The sequence below is a fragment of the Homo sapiens genome, chromosome 11 (genome assembly GCF_000001405.40).
Source record: "Homo sapiens chromosome 11, GRCh38.p14 Primary Assembly".
NCBI lineage: Eukaryota > Metazoa > Chordata > Mammalia > Primates > Hominidae > Homo > Homo sapiens.
This window is the reverse complement of record NC_000011.10, coordinates 22,685,115-22,709,079: the sequence shown is the minus strand read 5'-3', so window position 1 is coordinate 22,709,079 and position 23,965 is coordinate 22,685,115. Positions and strand designations below refer to the sequence as shown.

The following is a 23,965-nucleotide window of genomic DNA, read 5'->3' as shown; positions in this document are numbered from 1 at the left end:
AAAGCTCCCTATGATGTGGCTTCCATGGTTTGTATTAGCCTGCACACTGTCTACTCTACTACCATGGGCCCTCTGTCTCCTGTAGCCATGCTAGCATTTGTTCCAATGCCTGCATGTTCTCCATCCTGCCTCCCACCACAGGCTTCTTGCACATTAAGTGTCCTCTCTGCTCTTCCCATATTTCTTTGCCCAAATAATTGCAAGTCCCACCCCTTACACTTCAGTTTACCTGGGTAAAATCCACACTGTTTAAGTGCTCCTGCTATCAAGTTCCTTCATATGATTAACTGATTAACAACTATCTTTCCTTTTAGGCTGTAGGCTTTATGAGGAATGGAACAGTGACTGGTTTTGTTCACCACCTTATTCCTAGCACCTAGTGTAATACCTATCAAATATTACTTATGAAACATTTATTGAATAAATACAAATATGATTGTAGCCGAGGCATATATTCCATATATAGTCACGGGCAGCAGAATGGAGTGGTCATAAGTACATTTGGAACCAGACTGCCTGAGTTTGAATGCTGGATTTTTAGTTACTAGTTGTGTTGACATGAGGCATATTAACTTCATCTGTGAAATGGCATAATAATAGCAACTACATCATGACGTTGCTATGAGGGTTATATAAGATTAAACAGAAGTTCTTGAAATAATGACTGGCATATGGTAAAATTTAAGTGCATGTTTGTTAGAAAACTGAAGAAAAGGACATTTAAACTAATTTAAATAAAATTTAGTCCGGGGTGCCAATGAAAATTTGGGGATTTTAATAATCACTAAAAAACATAAACACAATCTCAAAAATATCCATAATATCCACCTACATATCTTGCTATTCAGTACATCTATCAAGTCATTATATGTCTCCCACAAAAACAGAATTTCCTTCTTTTGTTCTGTCCCCTAATCATCATATTGTCTCAAATTGTAAAAATTATGGTAGCTTTGATTCTTCCTTCATCCCTTCTTTTTGTGCCCAGTAAATCATCAATCTAGCTCATTGTTGTTTTCCAATGAATATCTCTTCAATTACCCTGAACCTTTTAATAAAATATTGACACACTCACCTCAGACCCTTTAACATCTCAGATCTAAACAAATGTAGAAACTTTACCCAACGATCTTCCTGTTTCCTGTCTCAAATTTCTCCAACTTAATATGCATACACATCAACCTCAGATTAATCTTCCTAAATTTAATGTTCTCATTCTCCAGCTCAATGTTTACAAAACAAAGTTCAAATACTTAAGTCTTGTGGTTATGAGATGTGAGCTTCACCAGTCCATGTGCCAAACGTTCTCTCCATATATGATCCACATCAACCATGTTTTTCTATTCACTATTCCTGGTACATGCTTGCATTTTTCCAGCATTAATATTTGGTTCACTCACCACATATTTATATTGCATTTGCCACCAATTTCTCTGTACATTTTTTTGCACCATGTTTGGACAATTTAAATTCCACTGCTGACATGCAAACTTCCCCGAGCACTTAGACAAACTGTTTCCTGAACCCTTACAAGAACCTACTAAGTATATCAGCAGAGGTCTGTCTAAACAATGGTATGTCTAGATCAGCTGAGAGTCAAGTCTATAAACATTTGTGACTTTTAAAAGTATGGATCTTAACAGCTTACAACTGAAATATTTTTTAAGGACTAGGTCAAAGAAAATTCAAGGTTATCTCTAAAGCACTTCCTTACTCATTTGTTTATGTTTCCTTGAGCAGAAATGAAAGGTGTGGCATGACAGGGAGCCAACAAGGCTCATAACCCTCAGGTACTCATGAAGGTACAATGCACATGTGTGTAAGAAACAATGATGTTTCCCCAATCCTACTCTTCCGTGGCCTTTCCACTTGCAAAACAAAGCACTACTATCCATCTGTGTCCTCAAGTAGGAAACTCCAGACCAATCTCCCTTACCCATTCTATACAATTTATCACCAAGCTCTGCCAAGTCCACCTGGTCTCAATATATCTCAAAACCATCAGAGAAATGCAAATCAAAACCACAATGAGATACCATCTCACACCAGTTAGAATGGCAATCATTAAAAAGTCAGGAAACAACAGGTGCTGGAGAGAATGTGGAGAAATAGGAACACTTTTACACTGTTGGTGGGACTGTAAACTAGTTCAACCATTGTGGAAGTCAGTGTGGCGATTCCTCAGGGATCTAGAACTAGAAATACCATTTGACCCAGCCATCCTATTACTGGGTATATACCCAAAGGATTATAAATCATGCTGCTATAAAGACACATGCACACATATGTTTATTGCAGCACTATTCACAATAGCAAAGACTTGGAACCAACCCAAATGTCCAACAGTGATAGACTGGATTAAGAAAATGTGGCACATATGCACCATGGAATACTATGCAGCCATAAAAAATGATGAGTTCATGTCCTTTGTAGGGACATGGATGAAATTGGAAACCATCATTCTCAGTAAACTATCGCAAGGACAAAAAACCAAACACCGCATATTCTCACTCATAGGTGGGAATTGAACAATGAGATCACATGGACACAGGAAGGGGAACATCACACTCCGGGGACTGTTGTGGGGTGGGGGGAGCGGGGAGGGATAGCATTGGGAGATATACCTAATGCTAGATGACGAGTTAGTGGGTGCAGTGCACCAGCGTGGCACATGTATACATATGTAACTAACCTGCACAATGTGCACATGTACCCTAAAACTTAAAGTATAATAATAAAAGAAAAAAAAAAACCGTCTACTTCTTTCCCATTCCACTGCCACTACCCTAGGATAAGTGGTCATTATCTGTCACCTGAGCTAGGCAATAGCCTCCTGACTTGGGTGGTTATTTCCACCTTCACTTCTCCTTTCCAATCCATTCTCTACACTGCTAATGTTGTCATTTTAAAGGAGTCTATCATGCTTCTGTTTAAAATGTTAATAGTTCAATGGCATATTGTTATACTTAAGATAAATGCCAGCATCCAACAAGACTTAGCTTTGGTCTCATCTCTTGATTCTCTTGAGTTATGTGCTAGTCTCCAGACATACTTGCTTTCCTTTACTTCCTCAAAGTCATCATGCACCTTTACATCTGAGGGCTTTCACGTGTGCAATTTACTGTATTTGGCACACTCTATATTCCCTCTCTGCCTTGCTTATTCCCATTCTGCTTCAGAATAATCTAAAATATCCTTTGTACATGACTAATTTAGGTCCTCCTCTTAAAGGAGGTCATGTATGTACACTTTCTTGTATTTATACACAGCAGTTGAAATTCACTGTTTGCATACTTTTTAATTACCAGCTTAATGTTATTATCCCTTGCTAATCCACAAAGGCATGAAGCATGTGAGCATCCAATATTTTGCCCTGTATATGTTAGGTGTTCAGTATACATGTGTTGAATAATCAATTGAATGTTTTCATTGTAATGTATGTTATGGTTAAACGAAAGTTGAGAACCACTGGTGGGTATCACTTATTTAGCACTTCCATTGATATCTATATTATTATATGTTCATATTTTATGTACCTAACTAGACTGCAAGTTCTTGGGGAGGACCCAATAATGCTTTAGTCTTCTTTTATTTATCAGATCTTGTACACAGTTAGCATTCAATAAATGTTTAGCAGTTGAAAAGTCTGGAAAAGCATTCTTGAAAGGCACTTTATATAGGTTGGTCAGGGAAGGCCTCAGATAAAACATGACATTTGAGCAGGGACATGAAGAGAGTGAGAAGCAAATCATACACACCCCTGGGAAAATAATACTCTAAGAAGCTAGAAGAACAATTGTGAAGGCCCTGTGGTGGATGGGACCTACTCGTCAGGTTCAAAGAATTGCAAGGAGTCCAGTGTGGCTGCAACAAAGTCGGGTAAGGGAAAAGTTACAATAAATGAGATCAGAAAGGTCACCAAGGAACAGTGCATATAGAGCCTTGTAGGCTGTCATATAGATTTTGGCTTTTTCTCCAAGAAAGTTGAGGTGCCATTTGAAAAAATTTGAGCTAAGAAGTGGCATAATCTACTTTGAGTTTTAAATTATTTGATGATTTAATACATGTAAAAAGCTTACTCTGAATGACACGAAGTAAATACTTAGTAAATGTTTGCTTTATTATCATATCACATGGCATTAATTAAGTCTGTGGAAATAAAGGATCATGTATCTACTTTTCAATCTTTGAACAATTTTAAATGTAGCAAATATAACAACATAGAACAACATATGGTTTAGTTCTACACATATATATTTGCATACACATTCATTAGATAAGTAAAGATTAATCTCTCCTGTGTTAATCTGCCCACTGCATTTTGTTTATTCTGTAAAAATCCATTTATTCTGAGTTTTGTTTGTTTATTAGAATATTCCTTACTACAATCTACAATATTCCTTACTACAAGAAAGGGTTCTTTTCTGGGAGAATCATGAATTTGAGATGAGCAAAATATATATATATATATATATATATATATATATATATGTTTATTTTCACTGGCTTCTAATTGAAGTTTAATATCCCTTCAATTATAAATGTAGACAAAAATACCACAGTAGCTTTCTCATTGGTAAAAATTGTAGAAGCTTTTATTTCATATTACAATCGATCCTGGTATCTGGAAACACTGGGTTTACTCTCTTCTCTACTTTATAACTATAGGATTTATTAGAAGCAATGCCAGATTAACCTTTTTAAAATACAAGCACATTATTTTAAATTTGTGTTTCAATGTTGATTTTTAATATTGAAATAACTGTATTTTAATAAAATTGGTTCCCTTTATTTTGTATTTATTTCATTTATTTAAAAATAGCATGAGGAGAAATGATCCACAGGCTTCACCCAAGTGCCTAAAAGAACATGGCACAAAAGCACTTAAGTGATCCTGATCTAGAAGAAAGAATCCATGACTTATTTGCTTCACATCCTCCATAACACCTACAAAACAGAGTCTCAAAAGACTTTCTGAATTTATTGAGTTGTTTCACCTTCATTGTAGGGTTCTTTTCTTCCTTGTCACTTCCAAGATTTAATTCTTTTTTAACAATTTTTGATTGAGCTGGGATTTTTGTTTGCTTCTTTTGGCTTCAAGATATGCAAATTACCACATTTTTTATTTCTTATATGAAACAGCAATGCTAGCGAGGCATCTGTTAGACAAGCAGCCTACACTGGTGTGAAATTAGACATGACTAGCACAGTAATATAAACACAAAACACATACTAGAAGGCTTCAGGCTTCATGCATGATATGTAATGTGTTTTCAAACTGCTAAGTCAAACAATAGAAGCCATTCATGTCGTCAGCCCCTAAGAGCTTAAGATACAGTTGAAGAGCTCTATATATTGTAAACTCAGTTACCTCATCTAAAAAGCATTATTCCATTACTCTGTAATGTACCAGTACCACATACCTTGGACCACACACACATAAATATGGTGAGTGCTTACATTTTAAATTACCTAGCAATTCTCAGACATTTTTAAATGAAAAAGCAACTCTTTCCCCCAAATTTCAGCCTTTTAGAAAAGGTTCTTAATATAAAATCTATGAATGTTTCCCTTTAAGAAATAGCATACATATTCATTATTGATTTGTTCCAACGACTTGAGTTTCTCCAACACATTTAGTAACAGCTCATTTTAAAATAATTAATTCTCCATTTTCCATAGGGTGAGAGTGACTTTTTCTGACAAAATATTCTACATCCACAGTGCTTTGAAAGCATTGACCGCAATTAGTGCTATCAAATATCATGAAAACAGTTCCCCAGTTAGACTCCTTTTACAATCTTGTCTTGCTGATGTGCCTGCATGTTGTTAAATGCAGGATGTGAGACTGTAAGTAGAAGGGATGATGTCATCATGGAAAAATTCAGTCAGGTTTACTTTCATGCTCAAGGGACAACACTGCGCTGGTGCTAGGAAATCACGTAGATGAAAAATGTGTATGTGTGCATGTGTGTGTGAACCTCCCTTTTTCTATCCAGAATTTGCTCTTCTTCTTTTTATACTTTTTGGAGTTTCAATTTAACATATTTATTTTCAGTCACATGTTTCATATGCCTTTAATGCAACTGTTATTTACACTACCAAACAATATATTATGGTTTGAGCTCACAGACAAAAAGAACAATTTTGAAGGGGCTCTTTATAAGCAGATTCAAATAAATGTAGTAGCCTCTGGAATCTAGACAAATTTCTAGGTTAGAATCTGCCACCTGGTCTTTCCCTATCTCTTCTCCTTGCTCTGAAATATGTAGATTCTCAGCAGAGTACAGAATAGGGCTAGACATACTCTTCCCCACATCTCAGCACAAAGTCCTTATTAGGAGCATACCCCAATATGTAGAGAACATTAAGATTGGGGAAATGGCTTTTTGCTCATATGAGAAGGCTAGCAGCTACTGGCCTACAACAAATAAGAAAGGAGACAAACATGAAAATGATAGATTTTATTTTACCCTCTTATAATTTAAGGGGAATTCTAAAATAATTTTTACTTTTGCCATTTGCTTATTAGGGCATAAAAAGTAAGCTATCTCAAACATGAGTGCTTTTTACAAAGGTTTTCCATGCTTTGCATATGGTCATTTTCCATTTTGCTAGGGCCTATACTCTTGTCCAAAGATTTTTAAATACATAAGGCCATAAAGTAATTTTGTTCAATTTGCAATTCCATCTACAGACAGTTCAACAAACTTCATCCTCTGTTAAGTATTATTCCTAAAGAATCTCAGCACAATATCTTAGACACTGGCTTCTTCTGCCACCCACCTCAAGAGTTATATATCAAAAGTGTGAGAGACAATTCCTTCTATGACTCACTGAAACAAGGAAATGAGAATAATTTGGATTTTGACCTGTGATAATAAAAAGAGCAAAGAAAATGATAATGTATGGGTAGTCAGAATGGTCAAACTAATCAGTTTACACCCACTTAAAAAGCATTGTAATAGGTCCATACATAAGCACTTTAGACATTGCAATGCATGTGTAGCTCCTGTATTTATATTATATGGCAGGTATTTTTATTATTAATTAGTATCATTTTTGATTTAAGAAGATAGGACACATTTAAAATAATCTTAAAAGTGTGAAAACATTTCAGTATATACTGTTATATCTTTTAACTTCTATTTTAACTTCAGCCCCATAATAAAATAATGCCTTTTTCTTACTTAAGACCTGTGACTTCTTGCAACTAATTTTTTTCCCCAACTTTTATTTGTTTGTTTGTTTGAGACAGAGTCTCACTCCATTGTCCAGGCTGGAGTGCAGTGGTGTGATCTCGGCTCACTGCAACCTCCACCTTCCAGGTTCAAGTGATTTTCCTCCCTCAGCGTCCAGAGTAGCTGGGACTACAGGCACCTGCCACCACACCCGGCTAATTTTTGTATTTTTAGTAGAGACGGGGTTTCACTATATTGGCCAGGGTGGTCTTGAACTCCTGAACTCAGGTGGTCCACCTGCCTTGGCCTCCCAAAGTGCTGGGATTACAGGCGTGAGCCACCGCGCCCAGCCCTTTCCGAACTATTTTTTTTTTAAGCTTGATCTCACAAGCTATATATTACCACATACAACACATTTCTTCCTAATAGAGAGTAAACTCCTTGAGAGTATTCTATCTTCATTTAAATCACACCCTTTAAATCACAACTATCTTTCTCACCATGAAGACAAATGCACATTAACACCCACAGCCAATAACATCATCTCTTGTTGCTAACATATACTCAAACTATCCAATTTTAAAGTAACATATATAAGTAGGACTCAATTATTATAAAATATTTGTTGTTGGTAATATTCAATATTATAAAAGATTGATAAAATGAACTTGCTATACTCCATGATCATATTTAACTCCTTTTGAGTTACCTATTGTTTAATAACACATTTTCAGAAAGTCGATAGCAGTATTTACTGTGCAGTTTTCCTAAGTACTAGAATTCTGATTCTCTCCTGCAGTTTTATAGAAATTGTATTTTTACATTGGTTGTTAAATAGTGCTTTGGCAGACAGCAATTAGCTGCTCTGATAGAAAATAAAGGTTCTAATATTCTCATTTCCCTCACCAACTATTTTATTGAGCAAAAGAGGCAGTTATTGGGAAAAAGATGCAAAAGAAAAAAAATGATTTCATCTTTATGTCTCCTCTAGTAATCGAAAGACACAGCACTTCGTTTCAGGTCAAAAACATCTTTTGAGAACCTGTTACCTAAAAGCCCTACAATTTAATTTTTCTTCCTAATTTTCAATGGTGAGCAAATTCATGAAACCATTAGCTATCGCTCATCTGATGCTTATTTTATACTGCAAGCAGTATAATCAGGCCTTGAAAAGAAATCCTCAAACTGAATGAACCATTGGATATAAATATGCTCATTTTTATCATAATTTTTACCTTTATATAATGCTCTGAACTCAAATAATACATCATGTCACTATATAATAACATTTACAATTAACTAAATGATTATCCTCCTCCAAGATCCACTTTTTCTTAACTAGTTTAAATCCCCATGGTCTGTTACTTCAGCCAATCTCTTGTCAGTGCTTTTAACGTCCTCAGATCCTTATTGTTTCCCTAGACCATTCTAAAATTCTCAAATCTTCCGTCTTTACGACTGGAAAAGTCAGATTTGCTCCTCATGCTTTGTCACATCAAAGGCTTTTGAGCTAAGCAAACAGGCAGAGGGGGGAATTTCAAACTTAATGAGAATAAAGTCTTCAGGATTAAAAAGCAAAGATGGCTAAAACCCACGGATAACAGTATTCTGGATCTAAAGGTAAATATCCATCTTGGGGCATTTATTTATTCATTCATCCAACACCATGTCTACTGAGCATCTATATGCTAGGTATTATGTTAGACTCACAGATGAATAGAACATAAACTATGTACTCAAGGATCTTAGAGTCTAGCAAAGGGATAAAGACTAGGAAACAACTAAGTACAACAGTATGGTACAAGAAAGAGGGGTTAACATGCAGATGGACAAACCGTAAGAAAGAGGCCAGATCTACAGATACAGAGTGTAGAGACTGCAAGGGCATCTCTACACTTCCAGTATCCTTTTCCCTTCTTAGGTAAGAGCATATTAATTTTCCATAGGGACACTATGGTTCTTTCATTTTATTCAGACTGAGCAATCAAGGTATGAAGCCATGATCTAGTCAGAAAGTTGGCTGTCCATCAGGCTCTTTCTTGCTGAAATGTTAATCTTGAGAGGAATGATACAATAAAGTTAACAGCTAAATGTTAATGAGCACCCATATGTACTAGGTACCACTCAGTGCTTGTGTATACTAACTTACTTAGTCCCCATAATAACCAAATGAGGTAGCTACAATTATTACTACATTTTACAAATGAGAAAACTAACGCACAGAGGAGGAGTTATGATTTCAACCCAGGTAGTATGACTACTGAGTATACACTATTAACCATTTCTGTTCAGCTGCCCTCTCTAAAAATGTCTGAAATTATTCACCCTAACAGTGGTACTGTGAAATGACTGTGTATCTATGCTGCATAATCCTTGCAAATAGTCTAATTCTTAAGCCCTCCAAATCCAGTTTCACTTTCCTTCACATGTCTTTTTTCTCTAAGCAGTACCCCCATATCTTTCCAATACATTCTTTTGGCAGTAAATTCATCTTTTCCAATAATTTCAGATTTAAAAAATCTACCTGTCACCTGATTCCCCACAAGGCATTTCTCTTCCCTGAATGCATAGTAAAGAGTTTGGGTCCCTTTGTAGATTTGAAGGAAGGGGTACAGTAAAGACTTGAGATCATTACTCCCCTCATTTAGAATTCTCCCTTCATTCTGTACATTTATCTCAATAAATTCATCTTTTCCAAAAATTTCTTTGGTACCAGAGTATGGAGTTAAGTTGTCAGGACTCAGAAAAATATGTTATATTTGGAATTGGTGTTGAGACCGATAATGGAACACAACTGTGGAATAGAAAACTAGCAGCCTATGCTATTTACACAGGGGCTAGAAAAGAAACAGATTTTGTGGGGGCTTGAGCTTATTTTATTTGGGTGCTTTCCTTATAGAAAACAACAGAATTATAAACACAAAATAAGATATGGAATTAAACATTTTAGCCTAATAAAATAAAGCACAAGAAATTAATAACTTTTAAAAGATGGTAAACACTAGAACCATCACAAAGCACAGAAAAACAACATAATATTTCTTATTAATTAACTGCATGAATGAATGCTACTTCACATTTTCTTAAATATTCTTGTTTTATACTGTTTGGTCACCTCTTCTTAAAACAATGTTTTATCTTTGGTTCTGTTTATATGCTGGATTACATTTATTGATTTGCATATATTGAACCAGCCTTGCATCCCAGGGATGAAGCCCACTTGATCATGGTGGATAAGCTTTTGGATGTGCTGCTGGATTCGGTTTGCCAGTATTTTATTGAGGATTTTTGCATCAATATTCATCAAGGATATTGGTCTAAAATTCTCTTTTTTGGTTGTGTCTCTGCCTGGCTTTGGTGTCAGGATGATGCTGGCCTCATAAAATGAGTTAGGGAGGATTCCCTCTTTTTCTATTGATTGGAATAGTTTCAGAAGGAAAGGTACCAGTTCCTCCTTGTACCTCTGGTAGAATTCGGCTGTGAATCCATCTGGTCCTGGACTCTTTTTGGTTGGTAAGCTATTGATTATTGCCACAATTTCAGAGCCTGTTATTGGTCTATTCAGAGATTCAACTTCTTCCTGGTTTAGTCTTGGGAGGGTGACTGTGTTGAGGAATTTATCCATTTCTTCAAGATTTTCTAGTTTATTTGCATAGAGGTGTTTGTAGTATTCTCTGATGGTAGTTTGTATTTCTGTGGGATGGGTGGTGATATCCCCTTTATCATTTTTTATTGCATCTATTTGATTCTTCTCTCTTTTCTTCTTTATTAGTCTTGCTAGCGGTCTATCAATTTTGCTGATCCTTTCAAAAACCCAGCTCCATAGCCAATATCATACTGAATGGGCAAAAACTGGAAGCATTCCCTTTGAAAACTGGCACAAGACAGGGATGCCCTCTCTCACCACTCCTATTCAACACAGTGTTGGAAGTTCTGGCCAGGGCAATTACGCAGCAGAAGGAAATAAAGGGTATTCAATTAGGAAAAGAGGAAGTCAAATTGTCCCTGTTTGCAGATGACATGATTGTATATCTAGAAAACCCCATTGTCTCAGCCCAAAATCTCCTTAAGCTGATAAACAACTTCAGCAAAGTCTCAGGATACAAAATCAATGTACAAAAATCACAAGCATTCTTATACACCAACAACAGACAAACAGAGAGCCAAATCATCAGTGAATTCCCATTCACAATTGCTTCAAAGAGAATAAAATACCTAGGAATCCAAATTACAAGGGACGTGAAGGACCTCTTCAAGGAGAACTACAAACCACTGCTCAATGAAATAAAAGAGGATACAAACAAATGGAAGAACATTCCATGCTCATGGGTAGGAACAATCAGTATCGTGAAAATGGTCATACTGCCCAAGGTAATTTATAGATTCAATGCCATCCCCATCAAGCTACCAATGACTTTCTTCACAGAATTGGAAAAAACTACTTTAAAGTTCATATGCAACCAAAAAAGAGCCCGCATCGCCAAGTCAATCCTAAGCCAAAATAACAAAGCTGGAGGAATCATGCTACCTGACTTCAAATTATACTACAAGGCTACAGTAACCAAAACAGCATGGTACTGGTACCAAAACAGAGATATAGACCAATGGAACAGAACAGAGCCCTCAGAAATAACGCCACTTATCTACAACTATCTGATCTTTGACAAACCTGAGAAAAACAAGCAATGGGGAAAGGATTCCCTATTTAATAAATGGTGCTGGGAAAACTGGCTAGCCATATGTAGAAAGCTAAAATTGGATTCCTTCCTTACACCTTACACAAAAATTATTTCAAGATGGATTAAAGACTTAAACCTTAGACCTAAAACCATAAAAACCCTAGAAGAAAACCTAGGCATTACCATTCAGGACATAGGCATGGGCAAGGACTTCATGTCTAAAACACCAAAAGCAATGGCAACAAAAGCCAAAATTGACAAATGGGATCTAATTAAACTAAAGAGCTTCTGCACAGCAAAAGAAACTACCATCAGAGTGAACAGGCAACCTACAAAATGGGAGAAAATTTTCGCAACCTACTCATCTGACAAAGGGCTAATATCCAGAATCTACAATGAACTCAAACAAATTTACAAGAAAAAAACAAACAACTCCATCAAAAAGTGGGTGAAGGACATGAACAGACACTTCTCAAAAGAAGACATTTATGCAGCCAAAAAACACATGAAAAAATGCTCATCATCACTGGCCATCAGAGAAATGCAAATCAAAACCACAATGAGATACCATCTCACACCAGTTAGAATGGCAATCATTAAAAAGTCAGGAAACAACAGGTGCTGGAGAGGATATGGAGAAGTAGGAACACTTTTACACTGTTGGTGGGACTGTAAACTAGTTCAACCATTGTGGAAGTCAGTGTGGCGATTCCTCAGGGATCTAGAACTAGAAATACCATTTGACCCAGCCATCTCATTACTGGGTATATACCCAAAGGACTATAAATCATGCTGCTATAAAGACACATGCACACGTATGTTTATCGTGGCACTATTCACAATAGCAAAGACTTGGAACTAATCCAAATGTCCAACAATGATAGACTGGATTAAGAAAATGTGGCACATATACACCATGGAATACTATGCAGCCATAAAAAATGATGAGTTCATGTCCTTTGTAGCGACATGGATGAAATTGGAAATCATCATTCTCAGTAAACTATCGCAAGGACAAAAAACCAAACACCGCATGTTCTCACTCATAGGTGGGAACTGAACAATGAGAACACATGGACACAGGAAGGGGAACATCACACTCTGGGGACTGTTGTGGAGTGGGGGGAGGGGGGAGGGATAGCATTAGGAGATATACCTAATGCTACATGACGAGTTAATGGGTGCAGCACACCAGCATTGTACATGTATATATATGTAACTAACCTGCACAATGTGCACATGTACCCTAAAACTTAAAGTATAATAATAATAAAATTTAAAAAAACAACGTTTTAGAAATATTTGCATAGGAAGAATAGAAACGTATTGGAATCTTTCTTTTAGCATGATTAATCAGGACACAATTTCTAATAATTCAGGAAAATCACTTTCAACCTCACAGCTCATTATTGGTGAATATTACAAATTTTGAAATTTTTTCTTTATTTCAAATTTGTTTGACAAATATTCTGTTGTCAAATTTAGAGAAATCTACCAACTTTCTTTCATTTGTGAGCTGTTGAATATGGAAGAATTTTCCACTGAATAGCTGTGATATATGGAATTTACAGAATAATATGACTTGCATTTGCTATTGGCTCCTGTCCTTTGCTAAAATCCTGTCCCCTTGCCAGATCCTGGTCTCAGATGAGAAGGGATTAACATTCTTATCTTGGGAAGAGAGGCAGAGACATGAAAAGAATGAGCAGGTTGGGTAAGAAAATAGCAAGCATACCCTCCCAGGAAACAGGGAGGGTACATGGTGGATTCCTCTACACCCGGTATGCTCCTGGACCAGGTTAAGAAAAGTATATCAATTAATTTGGACAGTTCTGAAACAATGGCTCTGTCCTTAAATCTCAGCTAGCCACAGAATAAAGAGTCTTTTTTTTTTCTTTTTGAGAAGGAGTCTCACTCTGTCACCCAGGCTGGAGTGCAGTGGCGTGATCTTGGCTAACTGCAACCTCCGCCTCCCAGGTTCAAGTGATTCTCCTGCCTCAGCCTCCCAAGTGCTGGGATTACAGGTGCATGCCACCACACCCAGCTAATTTTTTTTATTTTTGGTAGAGACAGCGTTTTACCATGTTGGCCAGGCTGGTCTCAAACTCCTGACCTCAAGTGATCCACCCGCCTCAGCCTCCCGAAGTATTGGGAATACAGGGGTGAGCCACCGCACCCAGCCGAACCCACACTTTTTTAAGCCATTGCTGACAACCTCTACCAGGCGTCAAAATACTGCAGCCTGGCTGAGGATGAATTTAGATACATCCCATAGTAAGGCTCAGGAATTCCTGGCTAACTAGTTACAAAGCCTCAATATACATTTAAAATGTTGAGTGCCACTAAATATATTATGGCAGAAGTTTTTTGTTTGTTTGTTTGTTGCTGTCTTTGCAATAGATTTTGAGGGTATTAGTCTGAGGAGAGCAGGATGTAATTTTAGATTCAGCAAAATTAATTTACTTGTACTGGACTAATAAGATGTCCCAAATTCAATGGGCTAGCATAAAATGACCCTATTAAAGTTTGCTAGATTTGCTAACACAAAGATATATTCAACAATAGCTCACACTAAATGGCACAAAAAGCCAGGAATCACTTGGTATGATATAGATAAAGGAATTAGAACTTCAAGAAAAAATTCCACATTCTATTCGACCTGTAATTAATTCCTCACATAAGCATACTTTTCACTATGTCACTCAGTGGGACCCAAGTGGCTCTATTTTTCACTAAAGGGTGAAGAATAAGTTGATGAAGAAAGCTCCAAAAATTTTTAAGGTGACATTATTCTTCAGAAAGTCTCAGGAGCTGTTATTGAAATGAGCTTCCTCATTTTAGTGTGAATGGAAATTCTCCGGGTGGCAGGAACACACGTTGGCACTTAATTTCCAGAGGCAAAGTGGATATGGCGGACAGAATACAATCTGGAGAGGCCAATCAGATCTCCTAGAATGACCTAAAGCACAGGAAATCTGATTATGGTTTATTAATCATGGGGCCTTGGGAAGTAAATTGAAAGTCAATTCCCTAAATTCTTATTTTTTTAACTTTTATTTTAAGTTCAGGGGTACAAGTGCAGGTTTGTTATATAGGTAAACTTGTGTCAGAGGGTTTGTTGTGCAGATTATTTAATCACCCAGGTATTAAGCCTAGTACCCATTAGTTATTTTTCCTGATCCTCTCCCTCCTCCTTCCCGCTACCCTCTGAAAGACACCAGTGTGTGTTGTTCCCCTGTATGTGTCCATGGGTTCTCATCATTTAGATACCACTTATAAGTGAGAACATGCAGTATTTGGGTTTCTTTGTATAACAAAAAGAGCAACAAATTTTCTGATTGCCCAATTCCCAGACTAGAGCCAAATTATAGACCCAGAGCTCACTGAATGAAGGCAGTAATGATCTCAAGTCTTTATATAAAGCTTCCTTCCAATCTCCAAAGGGACCTGATCTGTTTACTATGCATTCAGAAAAGGGAAATGCTTTGTGAGGAATCAGGTGACAGTTAGATTTTTTACCTAAACCTACTTTACACTATAACTAGTACACTTTTGCAAACATTAGATGTTATTTTTATAGTTTTACCTGAATGTGCAATTTGCATGGATATTCTCAAAAAATGTCATAATTTTTATCCTTGACACATGGAATAAGTTCTTTTGTGGTAAAAGTACCAAATAAAAAAAGCACACCTATTTAAAAAGTCAGAGATTCATGCTGTTATTAATGACCTGAACATTGCAAAAAATAAAAGTGACTTCTACCACATCTCAATGAAAATCAGTAAAAAAAGATTGACATGACTTGGAAACAGTGGGAAGATTACAATGAAGTAACATATTTAATCAGAATCGATGTTACAGATGTGGTCTTTTCAATGAAGTGTTATCACTCAATATCCTGGTACTTAACATTCATCTCTTGGTTTGGAGAATGGAATTTTCTTTATTCTTATAAGTAGAAAATTCCAGAATCAGTTTGCATATGTTTGACAGTAACAACAGAATTCTTACTATCCTATACACCATCTCCAGCCCTGTGACATAACCTACAGGGACCATGGATATTTCAACATCACAGGTCATCAAGCTCCTCTTCTATTTTACAATATTTGATATTGGAGATTTGATACTGCAAAGCAGGAATAGTAGGGAAACCAGACGGTTTCATAAAATACACACATTCTGGAGGGTAGAGAATAAATCTCATGAAAATGCAGAAAGGGGTTCTGCCAACTAAACAAAGTTTCAGCATCTAGTAGTAGGGGTCAGGTAGGAACATTGCCCTTTTAGGAAAGGACACGACACAAATGTTCCTCGCTTGTTCTTGTTGTCTGATGGAGACTGAATTTCTACCATGGGAACCAGTAATCATGAAACATTAAATGTTTATCATGAACTTAGTGCCATATGATCCACTGGGCCATATTTTTTATTGTGCCCAGCACTACTTTACCATTGAGTATGTGAAAGGAAAATATCTTGGGTCCCCAAAAATCACTAGGCTAAAAGGAAAACTCAAGCTGGAAAGTGCTGAGGACAAATGTGCCTCCCATTCTATTCAAAGTTATACCTCTGATGGCTGAGATAAATGCATTTCTGACTGCTTCCTTTGGAAAGGCTAATCAGAAACTCAAAAGAATGCGACTATTTCTCTCTCATCTGTCAGTGACCTGGAAGCATCCTCCCTACTTCGTGTCTTCCTGCCTTTGCCTCAAGTTGTCCTGCCTTTCCAGACCAAACCAATGTACTTCTTACATATATTGATGGATGTCTCATGTCTCCATAAAATGTATAAAACTAAGCTGTGCCCCTACCACCTTGGGCACATGTCATCAGGACTGCCTGAGGCTGTATCATGGGCGCACGTCCTCAGTCTTGGCAAAATAAACTTTCTAAATTAACTGAGACTTGTCTCCGATTTTCTGGGTTTACAAGTACAAGTGCCATGTATGGGATGGGCTCAATTAGACATGAAGATCTAGATAAGTTCCATAGGCACATCACTCACTCCCTATCTTGCCCAATTTTTCACATTGCTGCTTTCCGCTCCCCCACCCCCATCTGCAAATGTAGCCCATATCAAGTCTCCTGTGATGAGTTTTATTTGAAAAATAAAAGTCAAGCTCCTTTACATACCATTCTTTTTATTCTATATGATTTACCAACATGTATTGCTATGGCATTGAAGCCCGATTTAGGCATATCTCTGGAAGATAGTATAGAACAGAAACTCTCAGTGGAAAAAAAAACAAAAAACATTAAGCAAGACATTTCATTGTCTCTGATTTGGAGGTGAATAATTTGGCTATTTGGTCAGAGACTTAAAAAATAGTGACAGGGGGATTTAATTTTATACTGAGAAATAATTCAACCTCAGGAAGCAATTACAAAGTAAATAAAAAAATTAGTGTATTTAAAGCTTAAATATATTTTACCTATATTTTACAAATCCTGAGGAAGTGGACTTTACCACTAACTTTTCTTTTTCCTTTAGTCTCAGGCAGCAACATACCTATAAAAAAATTATTTCTTTCTACATCATGCCACTTATATTCTTCCCATCTCATCATAATATATTCTCTGTTTAATTCTAGCATTATGTTTGCAATTTAGAACAATAAATTTTAAGGGATATAAAATCATTTAGCTGTATAGCCAGCAATGAATGACTCCAGATTAATCACAGCTGAGATTTTATTTTCTTTTTCATACAAAACCTTTTATTGCATCTACCATACTTTCTTGTTCTGGCAGAGAGATCAGCAATAAACACAAATATCTGGATTTCTCAGAATTAAATCTTGATGAGATGTTCTCTAAACAAAAAGTGCTATTGATTTTTCTGAGAAGAAAATTTCTAATCTTTATGTCTTATTTAATTCCCAGATGGCACAAAACAACATCCTGAGGTATTGTTATCTTGCAGCTCAAGGAACCAAGTACTCCTGATGGGCAAATGTATTGTAGGCATTCTATCTGCAGGATGTTCTTTCTCCTGAACAAGGACTGGATTCTACATTTAGACGGTTAATATTCAGTTCCTTCCTTGGAGCATAATGCAGCATTCTACTAGGTAACAGAACTTCTTTTCCCCCCGCCCCCTCCTTCATCTGCTTCAAACTTGATCTAACCACCCAGGGCTCTTTGAAGTCAGAGGAAGCTCTAAACCCAGAGAAACTCTGATGTCTGAAGAAGAGACTCAAAATAAATGAGACAAATGCAAAGGAAAGTTAGTAGAAAAAGAGAGGTTAAACCTTTTGAATGTCTTGCCCCACGCTGATGCCCCGTGGTTGAGAGAGTCTTTTGCACAAATCAGCAAACTTGTGATTGGTGGGGGTGGGGGAAAGAGAGCAAATATACAATAGGAAGGGGTTTGTACTGTGGAACACTATTTGGACCGGGAAAAGAAAGTTCACGCATAAATGTAACAATTCCCCTGTCTTGATTAGAGATGCCAATTCCGATCGGGTAGCTGAGAGTCAAAAGACATAAAACCTAACCTTAAACCTGTCATTTGGTTTGGTTTTCTCATCCTAAAACAATATTGAAAGATTCATTTCATTTATATTTTTGCCTTTAAACATCCTCAACTCCAGAAATATTAAGATTTGTAATTACAGTGAATTCATAATATTATAGTATGTATAAATGAATTAAATAAAATTACACATTAAATGGCTGCACACTGGTCTCAAATGCTTCCACCCATCTACTGCCCTAGTCTGTGAAGTCTCTGCATTGCTCCCATGCAGAGTTAGAAAATGGCCCACTACACAAAGGCTAAGGTTAACTACTTAGAGCTCACACACGTAAAGAAGCTATTTTTAAATTGACCTATTGATGTCTGGGAAGAAAGAATCATAGGACAGAATTATTTCCATTCAGAGTATTTTATCAAACCAAAGCTGGATATAAAAGAGTCATGGATTTATATCTAAATATTAAATTTAGAAATATCTAAATATCTAAAATATTAAATATGCGAACTAACATTTATTAAAGATTTAAGAGCATTTAAATCATCCTTAATACAGACATACTTCACACATACCAGGCATAACTTACTCGTTCAAATTTGTTTACACAGCTGTAAAATCTCCAAATTAACTATCAACCAAGAATAGTAAAAAATATTGCTATGAAAATGAGGAGATAAGATTAAAGCTGCTAGAAAAAAATTACAGAGAGCTTCCTGTGGCATGGCTTTGGATGGGATCAAGTTTGTCAATTTTTTAAAAGTAATTCTGTTTCAACATCTCCCTATGCACAGTTTCATTAATTCAAAGAATGTATTGACTAATTCATCCATTTTCGCCACCATTTTTTCTGAACTCCAAAATGCCAAAATGAGAAATAGTTCTCTACAAACACATACATGAACACATGAGTGTACACACGTGTAAAATCAGACTTAATATTGTAACCTCCAGACTATTTATACTCAATTTGAAAGCCTCATTTTTTCCCATGGGAAATATTCACTGTAATCCTAATTACCTGGGTTGTAGTGAATCCATTATTGTTTAAATTTGTATTTAGATTTAACAACATCAACATGCTTACAATCTCATAAGTCTTTTTTGTTTCTAGACCAACAATGGACTGAAAAATCTTGAGTTTAACAGAAGTATATTTATGAACAATAGTAGCCATGAAGATATACATACTAACCCTCTGGCCTTTCATCTTTTAAAATTTTACTATAAAAGGCAAAAAATAAAATGTAGTCATCTTTGCACTTTTCATACAGTAAGGCACAAGTTATTATTGATTTAAGCTGCATATTACTGGCAGTCAGTCGTGAATATATAAATGCTGCCAAGAACAGAGAAGGCAATTCAGTCAAGAGCAACTGTGTCAACTTTTACCTCAGATCAAATTTGATGTATTGAGCAGTGAAAGTGAGGTCATAATCGGTATTTTTTTTTAACTTTTATTTTAGGTTCGGAGGGGACATGTGCAGGATTGTTACATGGGTAAATTGCACCTTGTTGAGGTTGGGTATATAAATGGTTTCATCACCCAGATAGTGAGCATAGAACCCAATAGGTAGTTTTTTGACCTTCACCCTCTTGCCGCCCTTCCTGCTCAAGTAGGCCCCAGTGTCTTTTGTTCTCCTGTTTGTGTCCATGTGTACTCAGTGTTTAGCTCCCACTTATATGTGAGACCATTTGGTTCTGTTCCTGCATTAACTTGCTTAAGATAATGGCCTTCAGCTGCCCCCATGTTTCTGCAAAGGACATGATTTTGGTTTCTTATGGCTGCAAGGTATTCCATGGTATATAGGGACCATATTTTCTTAGCCAGTCCACCGTTGATGAGTATCTAGGTTGATTTCATGTCTTTGCAGTAGTGAATAGTGCTGCTATGAACATACAGGTGCATGTGACTTTTTGGTGAGATGATAATAAGTATTTTTAAACCTCCACTTGTTCAAGTAACACATTTAAGGTTTTATACTAAAACCTTTATCACAATCAGAAAAAAATTTAGCTTTATATTCAGTTAAAAATTTGCTCAGGTTCACGGAACTATTTCAAGTTTAATAACTTGCTGCAGTTTTACTAACTGAAAAAAATTCTTTTCTTTTTGTTTTATAGTTTTATTATAAAAATTATAATATTGAAATGGCTGTTTAAAAGGAAAGTACTTACATAACTTTTGATCAATAAATATTCTCAATATTCCATATTATCATGGAGATTGGGGCAAATGTATACATATTTGCACATAGCAGCTCTCATGCTAAATACAAACATTTATAAAGCATTTATTTTCTCCCTTCCAAGGCCTAACCAGGCCCGACCCCGCTTAGCTTCCGAGATCAGACGAGACTGGGCATGTTCAGGGTGGTATGGCCGTAGACTATAAAGTATTTATTTTCTTATAGTTAATCGAAAATACTTACAAGGGTCTCTTATCTTTCACGTAAGGAAAAGAGATTTTATCAAAAAGAGATTTTATCAAGAGCCCTATTTTGTGCAATGCTCTATGGAAGCTATACATATGTAATTATTAATCCTATTTCACAGATAAGGAAAGTACGGCTCAGACACGTCCAATTAATAAATAAAACTAGAACCCAAGCAAAATGCACTTAATGTCAAAGCCTTTGACCTATAGGCTAATGCTTTAGGGTTATCTTACATTGAGTCTTACAATTACAAATCTATTTGGGAATCTTTGCTTCTGTTTTAAAAAAGCAAAGGCTTATAAACAAAGCAAAACCAGAACTGCACAACAGCCTTAATAGAGTTGGTTAATCTTTACTACTCTGGAGGATTCAAGGATTCTTTACACTGAGGCATTCGGCTCTCCATCCTCAACAATAAGCAATACAAGTTTCAGGAACTTCGTAATGTGAAGGTAATGCTTTCAAGAGTCTGGGCACCACAGCTTATTTCCCTCTGTTCATTGCTTTACTGTAAACCTTCTATACAAGTTGTCCTCTTATCGGCATTATATTTTTTCATCAGTAGCTGATGTAGAGGCCAGTTACATCACGATGGAAATGAGAGCAGAAGAAAAATTGGTGCCCTAACATTAAGCTTGACACAAAGCATTTTCATAAACAGTCTCCTCACACCTGGGCTACACATAATGACATAATGAACAAAAATGAGAGAGCATTAAACTTGCAAAGTTGTCTGTGTCAAATTCTTGCTTGGTCACTTACTAGCCAATCTTGTACAAATTACTTACAGTCTTCAACCATCCAATTAAGGAGAAAATTAAAAGAAATTAATGGTTACCAAACTTTGCTGCACATTAGAATCACCTGGGGAGCTTTTTAAAAATTCTAGTACCCAGGTTTCACCCTATGGGATTAAATCAGAATGTTCAGGCATGGGATCGAGGTCTCAGTATTATTTTATTTTATTATTACTTTTGAGAAATGGTCTCATTCCGTCTTCTAGGCTGGAGTGCAGTGTTGTGATCTTGGCTCACTGCAACCTCAACCTCCTGGGCTCAATTGAACCTGCCGCCTCAGTTTCCCAAATACCTGGGGCTACAGGAACACACCACCATTCCCTGCTAACTTTTTTGTGTTTTTCTTACAGATGGTGCTTTGTCATGTTGCCCAGGTTGATCTCGACTCCCGAGCTCAAGCAATCTGCCTGCCTTGACCCCCGCAAAGTGCTGAGATTACAGTCACGAGCCACCACATCCAGCCCAGCTCTCAGCATTTTTTTAAAAGATGCTCAGGTAATTCCAATGTGCAGCAAAGTTTGGGAGCCACTGAATTAATTAATACCTTCACAGAGCTGCTTTTAAGAAATAAAAAAATAGAGGGAGGTTTTGTATATTATACAATACTTTACGGAGTAATATAAAATATTTAAAAAATAAATTCAGTGGTAATACACACATACACCCCTTTTATTTTTTCTGTCAGAGTTGCAGAAAAGGCTTAACAGTTGCTTTTTGTCTTAAATTGTCTTCAACATTTTTATTTTATTATTTTTTTAGATAGAGTCCTACTCTGTCACCCAGGCTGGAGTGCAATGGCGTGATCTCTGCTCACCGCAACCTTTACTTCCTGGGTTCAAGCGATTCTCCCGCCTCAGCCTCCTGAGTAGCTGGGATTATAGACATGTGTCATGATGCCAGGCTATTTTTTTTTTTTTTTTTTTTTTTTTTTTTTTTTTTTTTTTTTTTTTTTAGTAGAGACGGGTTTTGGCCATGTTGGCCAGACTAGTCTCAAACTCCTGACCTCAAGTGATCTGCCCGCCTCAGCCTCCCAAAGTACTGGGATTACAGGCATGAGCCACCATGCCTGGCCAACATTATTTTAATATTTTTTATATCTCTTTTCATTCTCTATTAAAAATTAAGTACAATCTCTCTTGTTTTCTTCAAAAAAAGTCAAACACTATACTTTCATCAAGTGTTTATAATCACTAGAAAAGAATATTAGAATTAATGTGGAGAAAAGAAATCTGAGCAGTTAGAAATAAAATAATTTGTCCAAATTTACTTAGTTCAATGGTACTACTTATTTAGAATAAACCAAAAATTACAGTCCAGAAATTTTGTTCTAGTATTCTGCCATAATATTTTTGAAAACAAAGATCTATTCAGTAAATCTTTCTTGGCTAGATCTGTGCATTGCCTAATGACACAATTATTTCTCTGCTAAGTTTTTAATCAATATTTCAGATTCATTGAGTTTATACACAATACTCTTTTAATACCATCATTTCTCATAAGCTTTTATTTAATTAGATTCACCAAAAGGATTATGCAATTTATGTAATTAGAGTGCAAATAACATGTTACCTAATTAAAAAGAACTCTCTGTACTTTGTTGTTAGTATAGACCTTGATGCATCCGTTCACAATAAATTTTTTAATTACACACAATTTATAAGCAATTATAAATGTAATCTACCACCTAAGAGTGATTTTTGCATTGGGATCTTTTACCTTTGTGGGCTTGTTAGCATCCATGCTCTCCTTGAATTTCTCCTGCATAGTTTCTGCAAGTTGACAGAGCAAGGCACCATTGTCCAACTTCTCCATAAAAGTTTCTGCTGTAATCTCCTTCCCTGAAATAACAAAAAGAAGCATTATAAAAGGAAAATCAAATGTCAGATTCACACTAAATAAAATATTTGACACAGTTTTATCACTAAAATTGCTATTCTAGCTGAGTTACATAACTGGGATAGGAGCTTACCAGAAATAGTCATTTCTTTGGAATTTTCTATCTTCCTTTGGTTGCAAGAATCTCAACATTTAATATTTTCATAACATAGTGCTAACTGCATAACAGTTTTATTTCAAATAAAAGGTGGCAAAATGATATCCTGGGTGAAAGAGTTCCATCATTTAGTAATCAAGGGGAATGAAAACTAACCAACAAAACTCAAAGAACCAGCTTTACCAGTGATTTCACAATTTGGCCTCCATTAATCATTCCATTCTCATCCCCAGTGGCCCATTCAATTACTTTGACCCACAAGGCAGGACATAATGCAGGACAAGTATTTTTTGTTAGGTGTATGTCTGACTACAAGAACGCCGTAGGTCTCTCGCTCTCTCTCTCTCTCTACAGGATTGTACTCTGTCACGCAATCTGGAGTGCAGTGGCAGGATCAT

At 36.3% G+C, this 23,965-nt stretch overlaps 1 protein-coding gene and 1 pseudogene across 19 annotated transcripts in view; both read right to left on the bottom strand.

The window, feature by feature from the left end:
* Positions 1-23,965, bottom strand: part of GAS2 (growth arrest specific 2) — a 187,054-nt gene that overhangs the window by 103,976 nt on the left and 59,113 nt on the right. For all 19 annotated transcript variants that reach the window (NR_147085.2, XM_047426745.1, XM_011519972.4 and 16 more), the window contains one exon: positions 23,291-23,412. Coding sequence is in view for 18 of the 19 variants with exons in the window: in XM_047426745.1 (XP_047282701.1) it covers positions 23,291-23,412 (122 nt within the window). In the remaining variant the exon portion in view is untranslated. The remainder of the gene's footprint in view (positions 1-23,290; positions 23,413-23,965) is intronic.
* RNA5SP338 (RNA, 5S ribosomal pseudogene 338) lies at positions 20,645-20,729 on the bottom strand (annotated as a pseudogene).